General features: G+C 52.2%; 1 protein-coding gene and 1 pseudogene across 4 annotated transcripts in view; both read left to right on the top strand.

Annotated features, from left to right (window-relative positions):
* The window catches only part of INPP5D (inositol polyphosphate-5-phosphatase D), a 147,562-nt gene extending 124,959 nt beyond the window's left edge, over positions 1 to 22,603 (top strand). For 2 of the 4 annotated variants that reach the window (NM_001017915.3, NM_005541.5), the window contains exons 21-27: positions 543 to 625; positions 4,550 to 4,637; positions 8,512 to 8,661; positions 10,099 to 10,195; positions 12,795 to 13,076; positions 18,826 to 19,417; positions 21,406 to 22,603. In NM_001017915.3, the coding sequence (NP_001017915.1) occupies positions 543 to 625; positions 4,550 to 4,637; positions 8,512 to 8,661; positions 10,099 to 10,195; positions 12,795 to 13,076; positions 18,826 to 19,417; positions 21,406 to 21,408 (1,295 nt within the window). In that variant the 3' untranslated portion in view covers positions 21,409 to 22,603. The remainder of the gene's footprint in view (positions 1 to 542; positions 626 to 4,549; positions 4,638 to 8,511; positions 8,662 to 10,098; positions 10,196 to 12,794; positions 13,077 to 18,825; positions 19,418 to 21,405) is intronic. The other 2 variants (XM_047444219.1, XM_047444220.1) reach the window with 1 other exon arrangement.
* On the top strand, positions 19,899 to 20,179 carry RN7SL32P (RNA, 7SL, cytoplasmic 32, pseudogene; annotated as a pseudogene).

Genomic DNA, 24,309 nt, shown 5'->3' on the forward strand with positions numbered 1-24,309 from the left:
CCCAGGCCTGGTGCTAGAGCGGCCTTTGTCACTGAGTCCCCAAGCTCCAGTTCACCCAGCAGGGTCAAAGCGGTTCGAAAAATGATGAGGATTTTTGTGCGGGTGTTTTTAATAAACTATCAAGACAGTTCCATACATTTCTATGGAAACAGCATATTAGGAAGCTTAAATTAGAATTTCAAAAGGCTGCTATCTTGAGTGGCGTGGGACGAGCTGTCAAGTTTCCTAATCTTTTTGCCTGTGATGTGATGATTTCTTTGTTGCCTGGTTTGTTGCAAAGAGGAACTGAAAAGGAGGGGGAATCTCTTTGATTTTCCTAAAAATAATTAGACCATGTTGGCAAATGACCAATCCCTGCACAAAAACAGAATCCCCGGCAGGCCTGACTCCTAAATGATGCTGAGGCCCCGAGATAAAAAAAAAAAAAAAAAAAAAAAGGAGAGAGCACATCTTCCTAGGTCTGGGTGGGGTGACCCCAGGGAGTCTTTTCTGTCTGGTTCTTGCTCTGTTTTCTGAAAACCAGCCTTTTTGTCCTCCAACAGGTTTTGTCAAGAGTCAGGAAGGAGAAAATGAAGAAGGAAGTGAGGGGGAGCTGGTGGTGAAGTTTGGTGAGACTCTTCCAAAGGTAATTCTAGAGCAAGGCATTCCCCAGAGGGAGATTTGCATTTACTAGGCCAGTAGTACCAGCCAGTGGCAGAGCTATGGCCAGGCCTGACCAGAGGAAGCAGGAATCTCATAGACCAAATGCAGAAAGAGACCCACTCTAGGAGCAAGCTCTCGCTCAAGGTGGTTCGTAACACACTTTACAGCAGTGGGTATGTGGCCTTATTATTCCTAAATGGTTTCAGTTCCCCTAAAGGATCACAGAAGGGATCTAGAGGTCAGCTCGTCTAACCACATGATTTTGCAAAGAAGGAAACTCAGGTGCAGGGCCAAGCGCTGTTTGCTCATGGCCTCATGGCTGCAGTAACACACCTAGGACGCAACCCCAAGACCCCGATCCCCTCTTTGACGCTTGTTTTCCTATTCAGTGCTGGTTCATAGAATCGAGTACAAAGAGGCATAGAGAGGGGTCCATTGGCTACTGATCATACACTTGTGAACACACGAAGTACTCGACATGTCTGTGGCCCTGCAAAGAGCAGAGGGTGGAATTGGAAACACTCAGCCAGACCTTAGTGGGAACACATTCTTCTTTGCTATAGAAAAAATGGTTTTCTGGCCTGGTGTGGTGGCTCACACATATAATCCCAGCACCTAGGAAGCCAAGGCAGGGGGATTGCTTGAGCCCAGAAGTTCAAGACCAGCCTGGGAAACATAGTGACATCCCATCTCTACCAAAAAAAAATTTTTTTTCTCTTGTTTTTTTTTCTTTTTCTCTTTCTTTTTTTTTTTTTTTTTTTTTTTTTTTTTTTTTTTTTTTTTTTTTTTTTTTTTTTTGAGACAGAGTCTTGCTCTGTTGCCCAGGCTGGAGTGCAGTGGCATGATCTCGGCTCACTGCAACCTCAACCTCCCAGGTTCAAGCGATTCTCCTGCCTCACCCTCCTGAGTAGCTTGGACTACAGATGTGCACCACCACACCCATCTAATTTTTGTACTTTTAGTAGAGATGGGGTTCCTCATGTTGGCCACGCTGGTTTCAACTCCTGACCTCAAGTGATCCACTGGTCTCGGCCTCCCAAAGTGATTAGAGGTATGAGCCACCGCATCCAGCCTAAAACATTTTTTTTTAAATTAGCCAGACATGATGGCACATGCCTGGAGTCCTAGCTGCTCTGGAGACTGAGGCGGGAGGATAACCTGAGCCTAGGAGATCCAGGCTGCAGTAAGCTATGATCATGCCACTGCACTCCAGCCTGGGTGATGCAGTGAGACGCTGTCTCTTTTTTTGTTCATTTGTTTTTCTACTGAAACTGCTTTTGTGGAGCTAAATTGACAGTGGAGATGTTGGGTGTCCTCGAGTACAAGCTTATTATGAGCTTATTAGTTGTTCATGCTGGGTGGGAAGTGGAGTTTCTTTCTCGCACCATGAGGGAGGGGTGGAATGAAGGGGAGTCCCAGGCCAGGCAGATCCATCACAGGAGGTGGGGCGTCTTGGAGGCTCCCCTAGGAGATTCCCTCAGAGGTGACACTCGAGGTGAATTTTAAAAGGACAGTCTTAAGCAGGCAGAGGGACCATTCTCTCCTGAGACTGGGGTAGGATGTTGGCAGGTTTCAGGGGGCTGGACCCACATTGGCATTAACTTTTGATTGGAACCAACTCTCAGGCCATGTAAAAAGGCCATGTCATCTCCGGAGCAGAGGCTGATGCCTGAACTCCAGATTCCCCCAGCTGCGGCACAATTCCAAATTACTCAGAGGCTGCGGCCAGCTCACATGGCTCTGACTGGGGTCTCCCACTGAAGCCCCAGAAGAGCTGTCAGAAGTCCCTGTTCTGGGGCTGTCTTCAGGCCCCTGAGTCGTGGGGGCTCTGGGCTCCAAGGAGACATTTCTGCCTCACCCGGCCCAAGCCCGTCCTCCTGCTCCTCCTCCCTGGCTGCTTCCAGGCAGGGCCTGAACAGTAGTTTCCTCCTTTGGTGAAGGTGGAAAAGAGAGCAGCACCCCATTCCACAACATGTTCACCCCCTGGTCCAGCTCAGGGACCCCTAGGGCCCCTGTCTTCCTCCATTCCCCACATCCTCACAGCCGCCAAGTCCTGCTGTTCCTCTTGCCTCTGTCCCCTCCCTCAGTCCCCCTGCCCCCTCCCAGGGGGTCCACTCCTCCTGTCTCCTGCCTCTTGCTGAGGCATCCTGAACGCTGATGGATCTTTCTGGAATGCCTCTCTGATCCTGGAGTCCCCCTCTTTATCCGGTCGACTCCCTGTTGCCTAGTGAGGCAAGCAGCCTCATCTGCTGTTCCCACAGGACTGCAGGGGCCTTCACCGTCTCCTGCTCCCTGACCCCCGCCCCACCCCTGTTGCCTGGCGGCCTCCTCTGTTCACCCTGTAAATCCCTGCTGTGGCCCCCTAGATAGTTCTCCTCCCTGCCACCGCCTGCCAGGGTGGTGGTGTCGCACAGAGACATTTGTTGTTCAGATGTCTGTCACCCCATTTCCACTCCATCCCAGGGAGGACCGGGTCTTCCTCCAGCATCCAAGAACCCCAGCTCTGGCCCTGGGTCTAGCTTAGAGCCTGACATCACCTCATGCCAGGAGCCAAGTGATAATTGGTGCAGCTGTAGAACCCTGGAGTACCCAGAGCTCCACTGCAGTTTCCAGTCATCTGTTCTGGAACTTTTTTTTGAGACTGAGTCTTGTTCTGTTGCCCAGGCTGGAGTGCAGTGGTGCCATCTCGGCTCACTGCAACCTCCGCCTCCAAGGTTCAAGCGATTTGCCTGTCTCAGCCTCCCGAGTACCTGGGACGACAGGCACGCCCCATCAAGCCTCGCTAATTTCTGTATTTTTTAGTAGAGACGGGGTTTCACCATGTTGGCCAGGCTGGTCTTGAACTCCTGACCTCAAGTGATCCACCCACCTCGGCCTCCCAAAGTGCTGTGATTATAGGCATGAGCCACTGCACCTGGCCTGGAACTTTCTGAATGGAGATATAGTGAGTCTGCCCTGTTGGCCAACATGGTGCCCAGAGCCCTGTACCAGGAGCCTTTTGGTGTCTGGAAAGGAAGGGAGGGAATCGCCTAGAACAAAGTATCACCTTTTTATTTGGCCCTTCTGTATGGGAGTCATCGTGAGAAACAGCCCCACATCTGAAAAAGTCATAACTCGTGGCAGACGAGGAGCTAGTGTGCGTGTGATGCTCCTCCCTGCACTTGCCCGGACACAGCCCCCACTGGCCAGTGCTGTGCAAAGCCTGTTAGCAGCCACCCCCGCTGCCAGCCAGGCCAGCAGGGCCTCTGGGGGAGCTGGCACTCCCCAGCTCTGGAAACTTGCTCGCAGATGGAATGTGGGAGCCTGTGTCTGTCATTCGCTGAGCCACACCCCCAACAATCGGTAGGACACTCCAGGCCCAGCTGGGGGCTCTGCCAGGATGGACACAGAGGCTGCATCCTCCCTAGATAGGGGCAAGCCAGACAGGGGCAGGGCTGGGATGCAGCCACAGTCCTGGAGGGGGCCAAGGAGAAATTCTGTGCTCTGTAGGGGGAGCCTGGCGCAGGGTGGAGTGCATGGATCATTCCAGACCTGGTGCCTGGCCCCACTTCCCCGCCAGCCTGCCTTCTCCTCTATGACCCTGGCCTAGGGATGGGAAGGAACGGGGGCAATGGATGGGGCCCATCTGGGGTCAGGCCTTCTTGCTGGGACCTGGGAGCCAGCTCAGTTTAGGAGGCCTGGGGTGCAGCGTGGAGGTGAGGGGGACAGGGAAGGAAGCTAACCCCCACCTTGCTGGACAGGGTGTATGTGAAAGCTATACCCCACCTGCTCTCTTGGGTATGGACAGCAGAGATTTAGATCTGATTACTAAGAACACCTTTCGTCATCTTCATCCACTTGTCCACCCACCTGTCCCCTCACCTGTCCCTTGCCCATCAACTCCAGTCCTGTGCCCTTCTCTCTGCAGCTGAAGCCCATTATCTCTGACCCTGAGTACCTGCTAGACCAGCACATCCTCATCAGCATCAAGTCCTCTGACAGCGACGAATCCTATGGTAAGGGTCTGTGGGCAGGTGCCACACCTGCCTGTGAACTGGCGGCCTCTGACGTAGCATTGCCTTCAGGGGAGCTCACCTGGCACTTCCGGTCATAGGCTCCTGCCTCTCCTTTCCTCATCCCAGGGCTGCTAGTGGGACCGTCACCACTAAGTCATCCTTCCCTCCCCACTAGGCTTCTGGGCAGGACAGCCAGCAGTGGCAACCCCTTCCATGTATTGAGCCTTCCCTATGTGTGAGATCTGTGCCAGGCACTTTCCAGTATCATGTGATATAACCTTGACAAGACCTTACTGTTCTCCAATGAGTAAACAGAGGCTCAGAAAGATCAAGTGACTTGCCCGAGTCATATAGGTAGTGGTGGCTGGGCCCTAGTTTGAACCCAGGCCTGCCTGCCCTTCTCTGCTTCTCAAGTGTCCTGAGTCAGCCTTCTCAGCTCACAGGTCTGGAGCTGCGGACTCCCCTCTGCTGACCCAGTCTCTAAAACACCTGCTCAGGCACAAAGGGGCTGCTCCTTCTGCCCCCAAGGAGCCACCCTCTGCCCGAAGACCCCCTCTCCCCAGCCAGAGCAATTTGGGCTGAGGTGTCGTTCAGGGTCCCCTGAGTGGGACTTGGGGTGCTGGAAACACAGCTCAGGGCTCTCTGGTCTTCTGCTCAGCATCGCCTGGTGCCCAGACCAGGCAGGCTGTGGAGGCCCACAGCCAGAGAGACAGCAGGGGCTTTTGTACCATCTCTGCCTGTTTGTGGCTCCAGCCCAAAGTCAGGCTCACCCTTGCTAGACCACATGTGTGGCTAGACCATGGGGTGAGAGAGGCAGAGAGAGCCTGGAGGGGACAGAGAGAGGCAGGAAGCAGGAGCCAGGCCAAGCCTCTCCTTACAAGCCAAGCTAAGAGCAAATACCTTATCCCGAGGGCAGTAGGGAGCCATTGAAGATTCAAGCAAGGAAGTAACAGGATCAGATTCACATCTTGGAAATCCGCATCTGCAGTGATCAAGACGACAGATGAGTGAGCCAGAATAGAAGTAGTGACAGTAAAAAAGGAGAGAAGCGGATGACATTGAGAGGAATGGAGTAGAAAACTGTCTGGGCCTGGGATTGGGGAAAGGGTCTGTATTAGTCTGTTCTCATGTTGCTGTAAGGACATACTTAAGACGGGTAATTTATAAAGGAAAGAGGTGTAATTGACTCACAGTTCTGCAGGGCTGGGGAGGCCTCAGGAAACTTACAATCATGGCAGAAGAGGAAGCAAACACATCCTTTTCACATGATGGCAGGAAGGAGAAGTGGGTGCCCATTGATAGGGGAAGCTCCTTATAAAACCATCAGATCTCTTGAGAACTCACTCACCATCACCATCACTATCACTATTGAGAAAAGGATGGGGGAAACCACCCCCATGATTCAATTATCTCCACCTGGTCCCTCCAATGACACATGGGGATTGTGGGAACGACAATTCAAGAAGAGATTTGGGTGGGGACACAGCCAAACCATATCAGGGTCTGAGCGGCTGCATGAATGATGCTTCTACTTCTTGCACTGGGTTAGATGCAGTGCCGCGGGTAAGGGAGACCAAGGCACAGCCACAGCATATGAGGAAGACCAGAATGCTGTTGTGCTGGGGACACCATCAGAAGAGTTGGGTCAAGGAGAGGGTGTGGTTACAATAGCAAATGTGGCCAAGGGACCCAACACAAAGACCAAGCGTCTCTTAGATGGAGATACTCAGACCATCAGCAGACTTGGTGAGCGCAGTGTCCGTGGAAGAGCTGGGGTGACATCAGACCTCAGCACTTAGGAGTGAACAAAGCATGAGGAGGGAGGCAGAGGAGAATGCGCCTGGGTCAAGGGAGCACATTTATCCACGTGCTTATTTATTTGAAATGGAAAACCTTTGAATACTGCTCGGTGGAAGTCACTAAAGAGGAAGAGGCTGCAGACACAAATGAAAGCCCCACGCATAGTCTCCCATTGTGCAGGCTCTGCCAACACCTGGGTGTGGGCACTGTCGCTCCCCTCCTTGGGGAGGTGAGGAAAGGAGGCTGGGAGACCTGAAGGTCATGCAGCTACTGAGCAGCTTGTTGGAGGTAACTACGTGATCTTGGGCCTGAGCCCAGGCAGCTCTTCCCCGTTCCCAGTGCAGCACTGGCAAGAGGGTCCCCAAGCTGCAGGAGGGGTGGGAAGAGCTTGAGGAGTGTGATGGCCCTAATAGGGATCCCCTCGTCACGGATGCAAGAGCATCTGAATGGCTGCTGAAATGTTTGAAGCTTTGTTAGCAGGAAACAGGCAGTACGCAAAACACACGCTTCATTTTCTCATTCAAATCCTGTATTTCTGCGACACGGCAAGACCATGTCTTTAAAAATAATATACTGTAATCCTCCTTTGTTTCTTCCGCTTCATATTCATACTCACAAGCAGCATATCATCAAAATAAAAAGGAAAAACATCAACAGTCTCATTCCAGTAATCATTTTTATTTTGGTTTCACATTTCCAGCCTCATACATAGGCATACCTAGATTTTCATACTTACATCACAGAAACATCATTTTATACTCTGCTTCCCTCACCTGGTATTAGATGAAACACATTTTCCATGATTCTCCTGCCCCATCTTTGTGACTGTTCCTTTTGATGGCTGCATTATATTCCATGGACTTACTGCATCCTCATTTTAAAAGTATTCCTCACTTTAAAAGTACTATTATTGAGGCTCTGTCAGTTGTTTTTGTTGGTGCTATCAGTAACACTGAGATGAATCTCTTTGTGGACATTTTTTATTATTCTTCAGCTACATTTTTTATTCCTTTGAGTAATCTCATTAGGACAGGTTCCCATGTTTGCCGGATCAGAGGGTGTCAATCAGTGTTTGTGCTTCTTGGCGCTTGACACCAAACTGATTGCCATAAAGGCTGTCTCAGCTGACCTCACCACGGATAGGCTTCCCCAGATCCTTGCTGGCATTGGGTGGTTTTGTTTTTTGTTTTTGGAGGCCAGAGTGCAGTGGCACGATCTTGGCTCGCTGCAACCTCCGCTTCCCAGATTCAAGAGATTCTCCTGCCTCAGCATCCTGAGTAGCTGTGATTACAGGCATGCACCACCACCCCTGGCTAATTTTTGTAATTTTTCGTAGAGAGGGGGTTTCAACATGTTGGCCAGGCTGGTCTTGAACTCCTGACCTCAAGTGATCAGCCCGCCTCGGCCTCCCAAAGTGCTGGGATTACAGGCGTGAGCCACCACACCCGGTGCATTGGGTGTTATTTTTCTCGCTTCCTATCTATGCTAACTTCATGTCTGTGAAAGAGCAACTTAATGATTCCTTAGTTTGCATTTTTGATGGCTAGGAAAGTGGAACTATTTTCCATTTATTAAAATTAACCAGCTGCAATTCTTTTTGTGTGAAACGTCTGTCTGTATTATCTGTTCATGCATCTGCTGGAGAGGGTACCCTCTTGCCTGGGGAGCTAGCTGCAGATACTGTTCCCAATCCGTTTCCTTTTTATTTTAGGTTTTTTCTCTGTGCAAGTTTTAAACTTGCATGTCCTCTTGCCCGCCAATTTTGTTCTGTCATGTCTTATGCTGCATCAAATCTTGGGAAGTTTTCATTCCCTACAGCGATCAGATGAGTGTTTAATTCTGTCTTTCTGCTGCATTTTCTACAATATAATTTTTTTTACATCAACTAATCCACGTTTTGTTCTAAGACTTGAGACATTTGCCCCCAAAGTACTGTGGTGTTGTTCTGACGGATTTATTAAATAACCCTTGCCTGGGCTATAGTTTCAAAGGACCAACTCTCCGGCCAAGAGTTTGGTGTTTCTGCCATGAAAAGGCAGGGTCTTCACCCAGCTGTCTCCCACTTTCCCTGCAGGCGAGGGCTGCATTGCCCTTCGGTTAGAGGCCACAGAAACGCAGCTGCCCATCTACACGCCTCTCACCCACCATGGGGAGTTGACAGGCCACTTCCAGGGGGAGATCAAGCTGCAGACCTCTCAGGGCAAGACGAGGGAGAAGCTCTATGGTAAGCAGCAAGCCCCTCCCCAGCGCCCTCTTCAGCCCCCCACTTAGGGACGGGAACGTGCTTTCTCTCAGCAAAGCTGTCGAATATGCTCTCTGCTGCGGCCTCAGAGCAGAAATCCAGCACTGGAAAAGATCTCAGACAATCTGGCCCAACCCTCACTCAACTCAAAAATGTCCCAACAGAACCCAACATCCAGCACCCCCAGATCACCCTCCCCGACCCTGTGGATTTTTTAGGGCCCCGAACCTCACCTGTCAGCCTTTAGGCCTTGTCATTCCCCCATTAGCACCTCCACTAAAAGAAGGACCCAGTGTACCAAGCGAACCTACGTCTTGTTAAATGGCTCCTTCCAGGCTGTCCGGGGAAGGCCACAGCTACAGCTGCAGATGAGATTTAGAATTTCTTGGGCGACCTCTGCTTGCCCACACGGCCACATGGTGCCCACTCCCATATACAAACAGGCCCTCGTACGTACCTAAACCCTGCCCTCATGGTGCCCACCCAGGTTTCTGTACCTTCTAAACTGCTTTTTTTTTTTTTTTTTTTTTTTTTTTGGGACAGAGTCTCACTCTGTGGCTCAGGCTGGAGTGCAGTGGCACGATCTCAGCTCACTGCAACCTCCACTTCTGGGGTTCAAGTGATTTTCCATCTTCAGCCTCCAGAGTAGCTGGGACTATAGGCACCCACCACCATGCCCAGCTAATTTTTATATTTTTAGTAGAGACAGGGTTTCACCACGTTGACTAGGCTAGTCTGGAACTCCTGACCTCAAGTGATCCACCTGTCTCCGCCTCCTGAAGTGCTGGGATTACAGACGTGACCACTGCACCGAGCCTTTTTTTTTCTTTCTTTCTTTTTTGGAGACAGTCTTACTCTGTAGCCCAGGCTAGAGTGCAGTGGCACAATCTCAGATCACTGCAACCTCCGCCTCCCAGGTTCAAGCAATTCTCCTGCCCCACCTTCCCGAGTAGCTGGGATTACAGGTGCCCACCACTGGCTAATTTTTGTATTTTTAGTAGAGACAGTGTTTCACCACGTTGGCCAGACTGGTTTGGAACTCCTGACCTCAAGTGACACACCTGCCTCGGCCTCCCAAAGTGCTGGGGTTACAGGCATGAGCCACCACACCTGGCCTGTTTATTTTAATCTGACAAAACATACTTGCCTGTTTTGTTTCTTGCTGAGACCAGTAAGTTGGAAATGTCACATGAAATGGCAACTCTGGATCCCAACTCTCCTCTCTGTGGATCCACTGCAGGCATAACTAATCAATCACTGAACTCTTAGGAGGCCTCAGAATCTTGCTTAACTCACCTCTCCAGGTACTCACTATTCACTGTGCAGCTTCAGCCTGCAAATGGAAACCCCTTTGCCATCCCTCGCCTAAGCTCTGGAAGCTGGGCCCTCACATGCTCTTTCCCGTCCCTTTCCTTCCAGACTTTGTGAAGACGGAGCGTGATGAATCCAGTGGGCCAAAGACCCTGAAGAGCCTCACCAGCCACGACCCCATGAAGCAGTGGGAAGTCACTAGCAGGTAAAGTGGGCGTGGGGTGGGTGTTGGGGGGGGTGGATATCAGGGACTCATGACAAATTAGCATGGTTTGGCCGGGTGCGATGGTTCACGCCCATAATCCCGGCACTTTGGGAGGCCAAGGCTGGAGGATCATTTGAGCCTAGGAGTTTGAGACCAGCCTGAGCAACATATCGAGACCCTGTCTCTACAAAAAAAATGTGGTGGTTCATGCCTGTAATCGCAGCACTTTGGGAGGCCAAGGCCGGTGGATTGCTTGAGGTCAGGAGTTTGAGACCAGGCTGGCCGACATGGTAAAACCCCATCTCTACTAAAAATACAAAAATTAGCTGGGCGTGGTGGTGGCACACGCCTCTAATCCCAGCTACTCTGGAGGGCTGAGGCACAAGAATTGCTCGAACCCAGGAGGCAGAGATTGCAGTGAGCCGAGATTTCACCACTGTACTCCAGCCTGGGCAACAGACCGAGACTCTGTCTCAAAAATAATAATAATACTTAGCTGGGTGTAGTAGTCCTAACTACTTAGGAGGCTGAGATGGAAGGATTGCTTCAGCCCAAAAGGCTGAGGCTGCAGTGAGCTGTGATTGTGTCACTGCACTCCAGCTTAGGCGACAGAGTAAGACCTTGTCTCAAAAAAAACAAAACAAAACACTAGCATGGCTCTGCAAACCCAGGGCCTGTGAGAAGGTGAACTGAAGCACAGAGAAACCCAGGACACAGGAGAAAGAAGCTCCAGCCCAGGAGAGGTGCTCTCCTGCCTCCTCTGCGAGTCTGTTGACCGCTGGAGAGGTTGATGTGACTGTGACAAAGCTGGGGAAATTCTAATGTGACGGAAAGTTCAGTTTGACTCAGCTAACATTTGTTGAGTCCCTGTGATGTGTCCAGTTCTAGAGAAATCAAGGCAAATTCAGTGCAGTCCCTGACTTAGGAACTTGCGGCCTAGTGCATGAAGAAGTGACTGCGGAGAGAATGGAGAGATTCCAAGTCTACAAATGGTGGCTGTGTCTCCTGTGGGACAGAGGACACCAGCAATCATGGGATCTGTGGCCACCAAACCCCACCCTATCCACTAGCAAGAAAAATCACTGGGGGAAAATGCACACTGGTTGCTCTTGGCAGAGACTGAACTGAGAATAGTACAGATGTTAAAGTCTGTATTACCAGAATACAGACGTCCTTGGTAGCAGGGCTGCCCTAACTCACCGATGTGGTCTCCGAGATCCAGAATCAAGTTCTGGTCTCTTTGCCGGCTCACCAGCCGAGGAGGCAGAACCATGCCAGCAGCAGACATAGCTTGTTCCTCTCCTCCCTCCCTTCCCCACAACTCATCCCCACCAACCCTTGCCCTCACCCCAGCCACCCCCGCTGTACACAGGAATTCTCATCTCTAGCACATTCCCTGATCCACTTCCAGCTTCCGATGTTCACAGCCGTGGGCACACAAGCATCCCCTTTCCCTCTTTCCCTCCCATGATAATCCCATCAGCAAATGCATCCTGGCTCTGAAGTGTCTACTGTGTTCCAGAATCAGGATCAGTGTAGGGAAACAAATTCTTTTCCATTTTGACTAGCATGAGAACGAGCATTTATTTCTGAAGCAGGCAGTGGTGGATGGGAACAAGGTACAGCTCGGAACCAGGCTGGCAGAGCACATGGGAGCTGTGGAGTGTCCCTGACAGCCTATACGCTCAGAACTCAGTTCTCAGGAGGCCGGTGCCTGACACAGTGGCAGCGTGCAGTGTGTCTGTTGGGGCCACCTTGCCTGGGTCTGGGCCATCCCCTCCATAGCTTTAAGCTGATTGCCCCCAATTCCAGGCTCCAACCTTGATCTCTGTGACCTCACACTCATTTTTCTAAATATGCACATGGCTGTCTCTATGCTGACGCTGCACACACAAATGTGTGAGCTGATGTGTTCCAGAGGAACCCCTGCTGGAGTCTGCCCTGAAAATCCCCTCCTTCCTGCCACCCAGGCTACCCCCCCACCATCTCTCTGCCCTGCCAGCCTTGCCAGCTTCTCATTCCATCCTCTGCACCTGCTCACCAGCCTTCGGACCGTCCAGGAACAGGCCAAACCCCTCTCACCTGGAGGCCTTTGCATGTACTCTTGCCACTGCCGAGAACAGTCTCCCCTTCTTTCTCTCTTATCTGCTTATCTTCTTATCTCAGATGAAAGACCACCTCCTCAGATGGGGCCTCCTGGGGTCACCCAATGCCCAGTTGGTCCCAACACTTCACTAGTCCCCATCTCTGCCCCTTGTTATTCTCAGACTTCAGCACTACATCAATACCGTGTCTCTGTGTCACTGAGCTTGTTTTTCTCTCCCATCAAAAGTGAGTTCCATAAGAACAGAGACCATGGCTGCCTCACTCACAGCCATATTCCCTCCTCCCGGCCTGGGGCCAGGTGCTTACGAGGCCCTCAGTAATCACGGTGTTGCATGGATAGATGAATGAATGAATGGATCACTGCCCAAGAGGTGAAGGAGTTGAGGAGAGCTCGAGAGAGCCCTAGGGTTATCAGAGGACACTTTCCTTGGGCTGGTGCTGACCCCGAGAAGGGAAGGGACCCCTGAGATGTGACTCCATGTCCTCCCTGCAGGGCCCCTCCGTGCAGTGGCTCCAGCATCACTGAAATCATCAACCCCAACTACATGGGAGTGGGGCCCTTTGGGCCACCAATGCCCCTGCACGTGAAGCAGACCTTGTCCCCTGACCAGCAGCCCACAGCCTGGAGCTACGACCAGCCGCCCAAGGACTCCCCGCTGGGGCCCTGCAGGGGAGAAAGTCCTCCGACACCTCCCGGCCAGCCGCCCATATCACCCAAGAAGTTTTTACCCTCAACAGCAAACCGGGGTCTCCCTCCCAGGACACAGGAGTCAAGGTGAGCATCCTCTTCATTAAGACGGCTCCCTCCCTCCTTATGAAAGCGCCCTGGGCTTTGGGCTTTCACCCTAGAATGGAAGCCTCATAAGGGCCACAATTTGTGTCCACTTGGCTCATGACTTATCCCTGGGGCCTGAACACAGCAGGCCCCTGACATGTATGTGGAGTCTTCCATGTCCTAACCTGTTAGTGCAACTCGATTGCTTTTTAAAGGGTAAAAATTTGTAAAGATATTGCCAAGAAAAGGAACCTCCTATAAAAACTATATACATATCAAAAAACATGTTTTGGGCCGGGCATGGTGGCTCACGCCTGTAATCCCAGCACTTTGGGAGGCCAAAGCGGGTGGATCACCTGAGATCGGGAGTTCGAGACCAGCCTGACCAACATGGAAAAACCCCATCTCTACTAAAAATACAAAATTAGCCAGGGGTGGTGGTGCATGCCTGTAATCCCAGCTACTCAGGAGGCTGAGGCAGGAGAATTGCTTGAACCCAGGAGGTGGAGGTTGCGGTGCGCCGAGATTGCGCCACTGCACTCCAGCCTGGGCAACAAGACTGAAACTCCGTCTCAAAAAACAACAAATTTCGGCCGGGCACGGTGGCTCACGCCTGTAATCCCAGCACTTTGGGAGGCTGAGGTGGGTGGATCACTTGAGGTTAAGAGTTCGAGTCCAGCCTGGCCAACGTGGTGAAACCCCGTCTCTACTGAAAATACAAAAATTAGCCAGGCATGGTGGCTCACACCTGTAATCCTAGCTGAGGCAGGAGAATCGCTTGAGCCCAGGAGGCAGAGGTTGCAGTGAGCCAAGATTGCACCACTGCACTCCAGCCTGGGCAACAGAACGAGACTCCATAAAAATGCCAGGTGTGGTGGTGCATGCCTGTAATCCCAGCTACTCAAGAGGCTGAGGCAGGAGAATCGCTTGAACCCAGGAGGCAGAGGTTGCAGTGAGCCAAGATTGCACCACTGCACCCCAGCCTGGGCGACAGAACGAGACTCCATAAAAATGCCAGGTGTGGTGGTGCACGCCTGTAATCCCAGCTACTCAAGAGGCTGAGGCAGGAGAATCGCTTGAACCTAGGAGGCAGAGGTTGCAGTGAGCCAAGATTGCACCAGTGCACTCCAGCCTGGGTGACAGAGTGAGACTCCGTCTCAAAAAAAAAAATGGCCAGGTGCGGTGGTTCACGCCTGTAATCCCAACACTTTGGGAGGCCGAGGCAGACAGATCTCGAGGTCAGGAGATCAAGACCATCCTGGCTAACATAGTAAAACCCCATCTCTACTAAAAATACAAAAAATTAGCTAGATGTGCTGGCACGCACCTGTAGTCCCAGCTACTCGGGAGGCTGAGGCAGGAGAATCACTTGAACCCGGGACGCAGAGGTTGCAGTGAGCTGAGATCACACCACTGCACTCCAGCCTGGGCGACAAAGCGAGACTCCATCTCAAAAGAAAAGAAAAAAAATGTTTCTAGAGCTAGTTAACCTTTGGGCATCTCCCGCTCCCTAGAGGGCCCTGTGGAACAGGGTGGGAGTTTCCATGTAGAGCCTGCTCGCACCCTCCAGTTCCCCTCTTTTTTCTCGACCATGAGGTTCCCCATTCTATAAGCAGCTTCCTAGTCTCTCCTGTAGGGGACACTTAGTTAGAAACTGGAACTAGGGATGTAAAAGGCAGGGCAGCCAGCCTGCAGAGAGAGGAGGCCCGGCCCTGAAACTCTGGGGAAGCCCCGGACGGTGGAGAAAACTGATCTGAGTCTAGAACTGGTTCAGGCAGAAGAATGGAAGCCAGATAGGAGACCGGGCTACGCAGCCGAGGAACAGGGTCAGCACTTCCCAAAGGCACAGACGCTCTCTGGTGCTGCTGGAACAGAGCAGAGCCAACCATGGGTACCTCGTGGATACACAAGTGGGGAGCTCTACATGTTTCTAGTAGCCACAGGATGACAGACAGACGTGAAAGTGCAGGCCCAATTACCAACGATTTAAGATGGGCAAGATAGCTTGAGCACTGTCTTCCCTTGAGGCTCTTTGCTGGCTTATCATAACCTCAGGGGTTCACTCTCAGCCTCTCTTCCTCTAACACTGGTTTTTTCTTCATCCTTTTTCCATGAGGACTTGCGTGCTGTCCGCCACATGGGGCAGAGCCAGCAGCGGTGTGTTCTCCATCACACTGTCCTCCAGCTCCCTCCAGTTCCACCCTTCCCAGGCCTGACCTGGCAGGGTCTTCCTCTGGATGGAGAAGCTGTTGACAGTCTCATTTCTCAAAATATGCGAGATATGCTCTAAGAAACGGATAGGCCAGGCGCGGTGGCTCACGCCTGTAATCCCAGCACTTTGGGAAGCCAAGGTGGGCAGATCACTTGAGGTCAGGAGTTTGAGACCAGCCTGACCAACACGGTGAAACCCCATCTCTACTAAAAATACAAAAATCAGCCAGGCGTAGTGGCCCACACCTGTAATCCCAGCTACTCAGGAGTCTCTGAGACACGAGAATCGCTTGAACCCGGGAGGCGGAGGTTGCAGTGAGCTGAGGTCATGCCACTGCACTTTAGCCTGGGTGACAGAGCAAGACTCCATCTCAAAATAAATAAATAAATAAATAAATAAATAAATAAATAAATAAATAAATAGATGAGAGGAAGTCAGGAAGAGAGAGAGAAAAGGACAGGACAGGATAGCCCTGAAGCTCAGCTCAGCTGTCTCTCTCTCTGCCTCTGTACAGAGTTTGTTGATAGGGTGTCAGACCCTGGTCATTCCCTAAGAAACTTGGAGGGAGGAGAAACAGCCTCAGTTTCCTGCCCTGGAAATATGAGGACAAAAGGCACTATTCAGTGGGTATCAAGGTGCCTGTGTGGCCACCTCTTTGGAGACCCCAGGAAATGGAGCTCTAAGCAACCAGAAAGAAAAAGGAGCATGATTATTTGTGTAAGTGAATGCTTTTCAGCTCCCAAAGCGAATGGATCTTGGTGCATAACAACGAGCACACAGCTTGGTGGGAGCATGCTCCCCACAGCCCCATGGTGACAGCTGCAGACAGGCTGCCATCCACGGGCAAGGGGCCCCCAGGGTACGCTTCTAACTCACTGCTCACCAAGGAGGCGCTTGGAGCCTGGAGCCCTGCAGCTCGCACACCTGCCTCATCCCTTTCCGCTGCTCCAGGTCCCAGGCTCAGCCAGAGCAAAGGCTGTGGAAGGGGGTGTTCCAAGCACCATCAGTGTTTCCCCACCATCACCCAGACCCAAGTGCAGGGACTGACCTTCCCGGTTTGCCAAGTACTGTCCCAGTTTTAGCACTGAAAGTCCCACATCTCAGGAAACCCTTCAGTCCTGCGTAAGCAAGGACAACTGGTGACCCCAGATCGAAGCTGTGCAATTAGGAAGGGGACTCTTCTCAGCCCCTGGCCAGTGCTTAGCTGCTTTGGAGATGAGACTCGTCTCCTGAATCTGAGAAGTACAGTCATTTGCTGCAGGAATCAACTCGTCCCCTAGATATCGGTTCCCTTATTCAACAACTGTGGCCTGCTATAGGAGTCAATTTCTTGTTACCTTTGGTCAGGGGAATAAGACTTACTTTTGAGTTTTTCATGGTTTTCCCCAGTCTTCCCCGCCCGCCCCACCAAGCTTCCCCTCTCTAAGTGCAACAGAAGCCTCCTCTTAGAGGGAAGGCTTCCCTGGTCTCTATCTCACTGCTCTTTTCCCAGAGGAGTGAGCTTTAGAATCACAAAAGGGCTTGCACCCAGGGCTCTTCCTGGTCCTGCCCCCAGTTCTCTGAAGTCAGCCCCCTCCTCCCATCTCAGCCCCTGAGAGAGGGTGGTCAGAGGTCAGGACTTCTTGCTCCTTCATCTGAAAACTTGTGACCATGCCAGTTGCACCCTCCTGTGCCCTCTTCCCTTGGCTAACTCACAGCAACGGCCTTTGAGGGTCCACACGGGGGTCAGAAGAGGGCTGAACATGGAGGGGGCCCTTTCCAAAGTCCTTGTTTGAGGCCCCAGCATTTCTATGTATGCACCTGCTCTAAGGTGTTTCCAAAAATTAATGGGCAACACCCCCAGGTGCACAGTCAGGCTCCCTTTGGTGTGTCCCGGAGGCCAGCCTCCCTGGAGCTCCATGGCTTCTCACCGGCACCTGTGTGAGGACGACATCCCGCCTTTGTCCCCTGAGCCCACACCTGCTCCCCAGAGTCACTGTTGAGTGCCTGTGAGCAGCTTCTCAGTGCACATCCCATCAGTAACAGGCGCAACAGCCTCAACAGCTCAGTGGGTTCCCAGCGATCCACAATTTCTTCACGATAGCTTCCTTTTCTGTAGAAAGCAGAACCCAGAACACTCCCCTGGGAGATTCTGCTGCTAGTCAGGAAGTAAAATGTGTTCCCATTTCTCGTTCTCATAGTTTGCTCAGCAGGAAATCACCTCCAGTCAGAGCAGTGATAAATCAGAACACAAACAAGCAAAGGCAGCACTTGCCTACTTTGGGTCACAACACAGGAGCTTCCCCTGCCCATGAGTTGAGTGGGCCTTTCTTCTAGCTACTGGCCTTGGCTTCCCCAGTACTCGCAAGTGTCCAAGTTCCCTCTGACTTGCACCACAGCCACCACGTGTTCCTTCCACTGTGAGTTAGGAGAGGCTTCCAGGGAGAGGACTTCATGTGGCTGGGAAGGACACTGTGTTAACCGGGATGTCGGGCCCCCTGAGCTCAGATTCTGTCCTTGTTTGTGGCTGTGTTGCTGTGCCTGGGAAAGTGTCTCACACATGAGTTTGGTAGATGGAGCCTCTTGAGCTTTCACCCTCAAGTAGCACAAGTGGTTCCTGAGGAGGAGGTGTGATCGCCTTCCTGAGCGGTCATGCAAATGCTGGGTCGGAGCAGAATTGCTGGAGTCAGAGGAGAGGCTGCGGGGTGGGGATGGGAGGAACCGGGAAAGGAGGCCTGTTGACTGGGGAGGTGGGAAGGGGCTGTGGAGAGCAGGCTCATCTGATGAGGATGAGGGGTTGATACTGAGGTGCCATGTAAGTTCTCACTTCATTTCTCCCACAAATCCTCCAGTGCCATGCCCCTTGCTCACAGATGCTCTGATGTGAACAGGTTTTATAGTGGAAAAGGTCCCAGGCCAGAACTGAGGCTGTCTTTGAGGACAACGTATGATGAACACAGTACTGTTTCCTCTTCCTTTTTTTCACTTGAGGTGAAATTCACTTAACATAAAATTAACCATTTCAAAATGAACAGTTTGCTAGGCTGGGCACAGTGGCTTATGCCCATAATCCCAGCACTTTGGGAGGCCAAAGTGAGAGGACTGCTTGAAGCGAAGAGTTCAAGACCAGCCTGGGCAATATAGTGAGACTCCCCATCTCTACAGAATAAAACAAAACTAAAAAATTAGCCAGGCCTGGAGGCATTGCTACTCCCAGCAATGTCCAGCTACTCCTAGCTACTCCCAGCTACTCCCAAGTAGTCTCAGCTACTTGGGAGGCTGAGGGGAAGGACTGCTTGAGCCCAAGAGGTTGAGGCAGCAGTGAGCCATGACCGCACCACTGCACTCCAGCCTGGGTGACAGAGCGAGACTCTGTCTCTAAAACAAAACAAGACAAAACAATTTGGTGCCATTCAGTAAATTTGCAATGTTACATGTCTCTATCTAGTTCAGAAACATTTGTATCACCCCAAAGAAAGACCCAGAGCCATTAAGCAGCCATGCTCCCATGTCTTCTCCCCTGGACATGTGTCTTCCCTGCTCTGTCCCTGGCTCTAGGCCCAGTGACCTGGGGAAGAACGCAGGGGACACGCTGCCTCAGGAGGACCTGCCGCTGACGAAGCCCGAGATGTTTGAGAACCCCCTGTATGGGTCCCTGAGTTCCTTCCCTAAGCCTGCTCCCAGGAAGGACCAGGAATCCCCCAAAATGCCGCGGAAGGAACCCCCGCCCTGCCCGGAACCCGGCATCTTGTCGCCCAGCATCGTGCTCACCAAAGCCCAGGAGGCTGATCGCGGCGAGGGGCCCGGCAAGCAGGTGCCCGCGCCCCGGCTGCGCTCCTTCACGTGCTCATCCTCTGCCGAGGGCAGGGCGGCCGGCGGGGACAAGAGCCAAGGGAAGCCCAAGACCCCGGTCAGCTCCCAGGCCCCGGTGCCGGCCAAGAGGCCCATCAAGCCTTCCAGATCGGAAATCAACCAGCAGACCCCGCCCACCCCGACGCCGCGGCCGCCGCTGCCAGTCAAGAGCCCGGCGGTGCTGCACCTCCAGCACTCCAAGGGCCGCGACTACCGCGACAACACCGAGCTCCCGCATCACGGCAAGCACCGGCCGGAGGAGGGGCCACCAGGGCCTCTAGGCAGGACTGCCATGCAGGTGCGCTGCGCCACACGTGGGTTCGTGTGCATTTGTGTGTGTGTGCATGCGTGAGTGCGTATGTGTGTACCTATGCATATGTGTGTGCATGTGTGTGTGCACGCATGCATATGTGCGTGCATGTGTGAACGCATGCATGTGCACACATGCGAGTGATGGTCCTGGGAACTGCTCCATGAGAAGGGAGAGTCAGGATTTGAACCCAGGTCTGCCTGTCCCACACATCCCTGACCCTGCATTGCCTCTGCAGCAGTTGTTAAAAGGAAGAAAGGCGGGGCTGTGGATAAACTTAGTCTAGTGTCAGTCCCAGAGGAAGAAGATTCCATAAAGAAAAGGAGCCTAAATCATTTATATCTCATTGTTATTATAAATTTGTTTTGCAACTGAGTTTCGCCAGGCACAGTGGATCACGAGGTCAGGAGATCGAGACCATCCTGGCCAACATGGTGAAACCCCGTCTCTACTAAAATACAAAAAATTACCCGGGCATGGTGGCGCACGCCTGTAGTCCCAGCTGCTTGGGAGGCTGAGGCAGGGGAATCGCTTGAACCTGGGAGGCAGAGGTTGTGGTGAGCCGAGATTGCGCCACTGCACTCCAGCCTGGTGACAAAGCAAGACTCCGTCTCAAAAAAAAAAAAAAAAAAAAATTAAAAAACAACAACAACGGAGTTTCACTCTTTGTTGCCCAGGCTAGAGTCCAGTGGTGTGATCTCGGCTCACTGCAACCTGCGCCTCCTGGGTTCAAGCGATTCTCCTGTCTCAGCCTCCCGAGTGGCTGGGATTACAGGCACCTGCCACCATGCCTGGCTAATTTTTGTATTTTTAGTAGAGATGGGATTTCACCATGTTGGCCAGGCTGGTCTCGAACTCCTGACCTCAGGTGATCTGCCTGCCTGGGCCTCCCAAAGTTCTGGGATTACAGGCATGAGCCACTGCACCCAGCCTCATTGTTATTATTAAGTCGCATTCATACTTGAAAATTTCCCAATATTTTGGAGAATTCAGCACACTTTCCCTCTCCTTCATGTAAAATAAAAAATTTTTTGAGCAAAACTAACAGTGATTAAGAACAGACTCCAGGCCGGGCGTGGTGGCTCATGACTGTAATCCCAGCATTTTGGGAGGCCGAGGTGGATGGATCACCTGAGGTCAGGAGTTCAAGACCAGCCTAACCAATATGGTGAAACCCTGTCTCTATTAAAAATACAAAAATTAGCTGGGCATTGTGGTGTGCACCTGTAATCCCAACTACTCGGGAGGCTGAGACAGGAGAATTGCTTGAACCCAGGAGGCGGAGGTTGCAGTGAACCGAGATCGCAACACTGCACTCCAGCCTGGGCGACAGAGTGAGACTCCATCTCAAAAAAGAGAACAGTCAGGCTATGTTGGATTTGAATCCCAGCCCTCCCACCTCCTGGCTCTGTGCCTTGAGCCTCAGTTTACCCATCTGTAAAAAGGGGCTGTTAATAGTACCTACCTCATAGACTTAGAAGGAGAATTGCATTGTAGGCTATTATGTATTATTACCATGTATTATCATCTATATAGAAATTATATATTTATATTTATGTATTTACATTGATATCCATTACATATCATTTCATATATATATACTATACATATTACATATGTGTATATATTTTATATATATATATGGTACGTACCTGGGTGTGGTGCCATGCACCTGTAGTCCCAGCTACTGGGGAGGCTGAGGCATGAGGCTAGCTGGAACCCAAGAATTCAAGGCTGCAGTGAGCTATGATTGCACCACTGCACTCCAGACTAGGCAACAGAGTAAGACCCCATTTCTAAAAAACAATTTTTTTAAATAAGCAGGTAAAGTACTTAGAGCAGTGAGTGCTGGCTCTTCTCAGCTACACGTTAAAGGAAGCCTGGCCTAGCCCACAGCATGCAGGGACCTGGGCCACTTAGTTCAACATGGCCTGGTGAGAATGAGCCCTGACAGCCCTTCTGTTCTTGTCCCACAGTGAAGCCCTCAGTGAGCTGCCACTGAGTCGGGAGCCCAGAGGAACGGCGTGAAGCCACTGGACCCTCTCCCGGGACCTCCTGCTGGCTCCTCCTGCCCAGCTTCCTATGCAAGGCTTTGTGTTTTCAGGAAAGGGCCTAGCTTCTGTGTGGCCCACAGAGTTCACTGCCTGTGAGACTTAGCACCAAGTGCTGAGGCTGGAAGAAAAACGCACACCAGACGGGCAACAAACAGTCTGGGTCCCCAGCTCGCTCTTGGTACTTGGGACCCCAGTGCCTCGTTGAGGGCGCCATTCTGAAGAAAGGAACTGCAGCGCCGATTTGAGGGTGGAGATATAGATAATAATAATATTAATAATAATAATGGCCACATGGATCGAACACTCATGATGTGCCAAGTGCTGTGCTAAGTGCTTTACGAACATTCGTCATATCAGGATGACCTCGAGAGCTGAGGCTCTAGCCACCTAAAACCACGTGCCCAAACCCACCAGTTTAAAACGGTGTGTGTTCGGAGGGGTGAAAGCATTAAGAAGCCCAGTGCCCTCCTGGAGTGAGACAAGGGCTCGGCCTTAAGGAGCTGAAGAGTCTGGGTAGCTTGTTTAGGGTACAAGAAGCCTGTTCTGTCCAGCTTCAGTGACACAAGCTGCTTTAGCTAAAGTCCCGCGGGTTCCGGCATGGCTAGGCTGAGAGCAGGGATCTACCTGGCTTCTCAGTTCTTTGGTTGGAAGGAGCAGGAAATCAGCTCCTATTCTCCAGTGGAGAGATCTGGCCTCAGCTTGGGCTAGAGATGCCAAGGCCTGTGCCAGGTTCCCTGTGCCCTCCTCGAGGTGGGCAGCCATCACCAGCCACAGTTAAGCCAAGCCCCCCAACATGTATTCCATCGTGCTGGTAGAAGAGTCTTTGCTGTTGCTCCCGAAAGCCGTGCTCTCCAGCCTGGCTGCCAGGGAGGGTGGGCCTCTTGGTTCCAGGCTCTTGAAATAGTGCAGCCTTTTCTTCCTATCTCTGTGGCTTTCAGCTCTGCTTCCTTGGTTATTAGGAGAATAGATGGGTGATGTCTTTCCTTATGTTGCTTTTTCAACATAGCAGAATTAATGTAGGGAGCTAAATCCAGTGGTGTGTGTGAATGCAGAAGGGAATGCACCCCACATTCCCATGATGGAAGTCTGCGTAACCAATAAATTGTGCCTTTCTCACTCAGCTGTGTGTGTGGCGTTTTTCCTGACATTCGGAGCCATAGATATCCTTCTAGATGGCAGGGCCTGCACAGGGCACAACTGAGGCAGTTAAGGGTTCATGGTGGTGATGGATGGTGTTGCCCTGACCAGATGGGACACCATAGAGCCAGTTTGAAGCTGGTCCTGGACTAGGAACAGGAGTAAACCGCACCCCTTCCTTCCTTCCACCCACACATCTTCCTGGCACTCCAAGCACCCTGCGGCCACCCAGAGGCCACGAGCATCCCCTCCAAACCTGCTGTCCTGCAGCCCACAAGTTCCTCCCAGCTTTTATAAGTTTTCACCACTTAAGCTGCAGTGACAAAAAAAACACGTCAACACTCCCCAGGTCATGGGTTCCCAGGTCAGGGAGTAGACCCCCGCCCAGAGGCACAGTGCGGGCCACTTCCACGGCGCCTCTGCCCCACCTTGGGCTGCCTGGCCTCTGCTTCTGCTCACAGACACCAGGCCTGGGCTCCAGGCAGGGCCTGGAGCCGTGTCTTTGGCAGCCTCCAAGCAAACCATTCACTCCCAAGCCTCAGTGGCACCTGGAGCCCAGCAGGGGCAGGACTGAGTGCCTGCTGGGACCATGGCTCCCTACCCCCACTCAGGTGTCCCCGCCCTGCAGGCTCACTGCCTGGTGTCCGTGTAGAACCTGACCTAAGTCCCAGGCCCCAGCCTCTGATTCAACAGACCAAGGGCCACGGTGGAGAGAGAGCTGGAGACACCCAGACATTCTTTAGTCTCCCAGCCCCCATCACCAGAGCTGAGGACCCAGGCATGGATGCCCATGGTCCCTGGGGAACCCACTGGCTGCTGGGGTGGGCTGGCCTGCTACACAAGTGCCATCATCTGCTCACCCACAGGGAGAATGTCAAGCCCAAGGCCCCATGCCCACTTAGGATGGATGTCTAGGCACTCCCCAGCATTTCTGTGGGTTCCCAGGAGATACGGGTAGGAGAGCAACTGTTTGGGGCATACATCATGCTCCCCGTCACCTGCTCTGGGTTCCAGTCACTCAAGCAAATGCAGTGCCCCCACCACAGTCAAACCCAGGGCTGCTGTGAGGACCTGGCTTTGATTGCACGTGGTCGGACAGCTGAGGCCCACCTGGTGCTCAGAACAGGAAACGCTGTGGAATGCAAGAATTTTCATCCTTGCCTTTTCCATCTCTCTACCCTGCACCCACCCCGAGAGGTCCCGGACCACTTTCTCCCTAGGCTTTTTGCTGCCGTGATCATCTGGGTTCCACCTTGACCAGGTCTCTCTCCTGTCTCTCCTTTCCTGACAATTCTAGGCATTCCAAACACCCAGGTTCCCCCTTCTGGCAGAGGGGGAACCCAGACATCCCCACCTCCTTATCACCTACATAATTCACCTCCAAGTAATTCACCTACACCAGGCTCCCTAATCAAGAAGGCAGGTCAATTAGCCAGCTCTCATCAAAGTGCTCCATTCCTAGGATGAATTTCACCGCCCCCTGAGATTGCAGATGCTGCTACAGTCACTGTTCCTTTTCAGAGGTAATTTTTTTCCTTCTCTGCTTGATGCTATGAAGGCTGGTTGAGAGCAGCAGAGTTTGTGCCGACAGGAAGGTGTTACCCTCATGATGGACAGTCTCTAGCAGCGCTCTTCCCAGTGCCTCCACCGCAGCCCCCCCCCCACCCCCCCGCAGCCTGGAGGGCAGCG

Source organism: Homo sapiens, chromosome 2 (assembly GCF_000001405.40).
Source record: "Homo sapiens chromosome 2, GRCh38.p14 Primary Assembly".
Taxonomy (NCBI): Eukaryota; Metazoa; Chordata; class Mammalia; order Primates; family Hominidae; genus Homo; species Homo sapiens.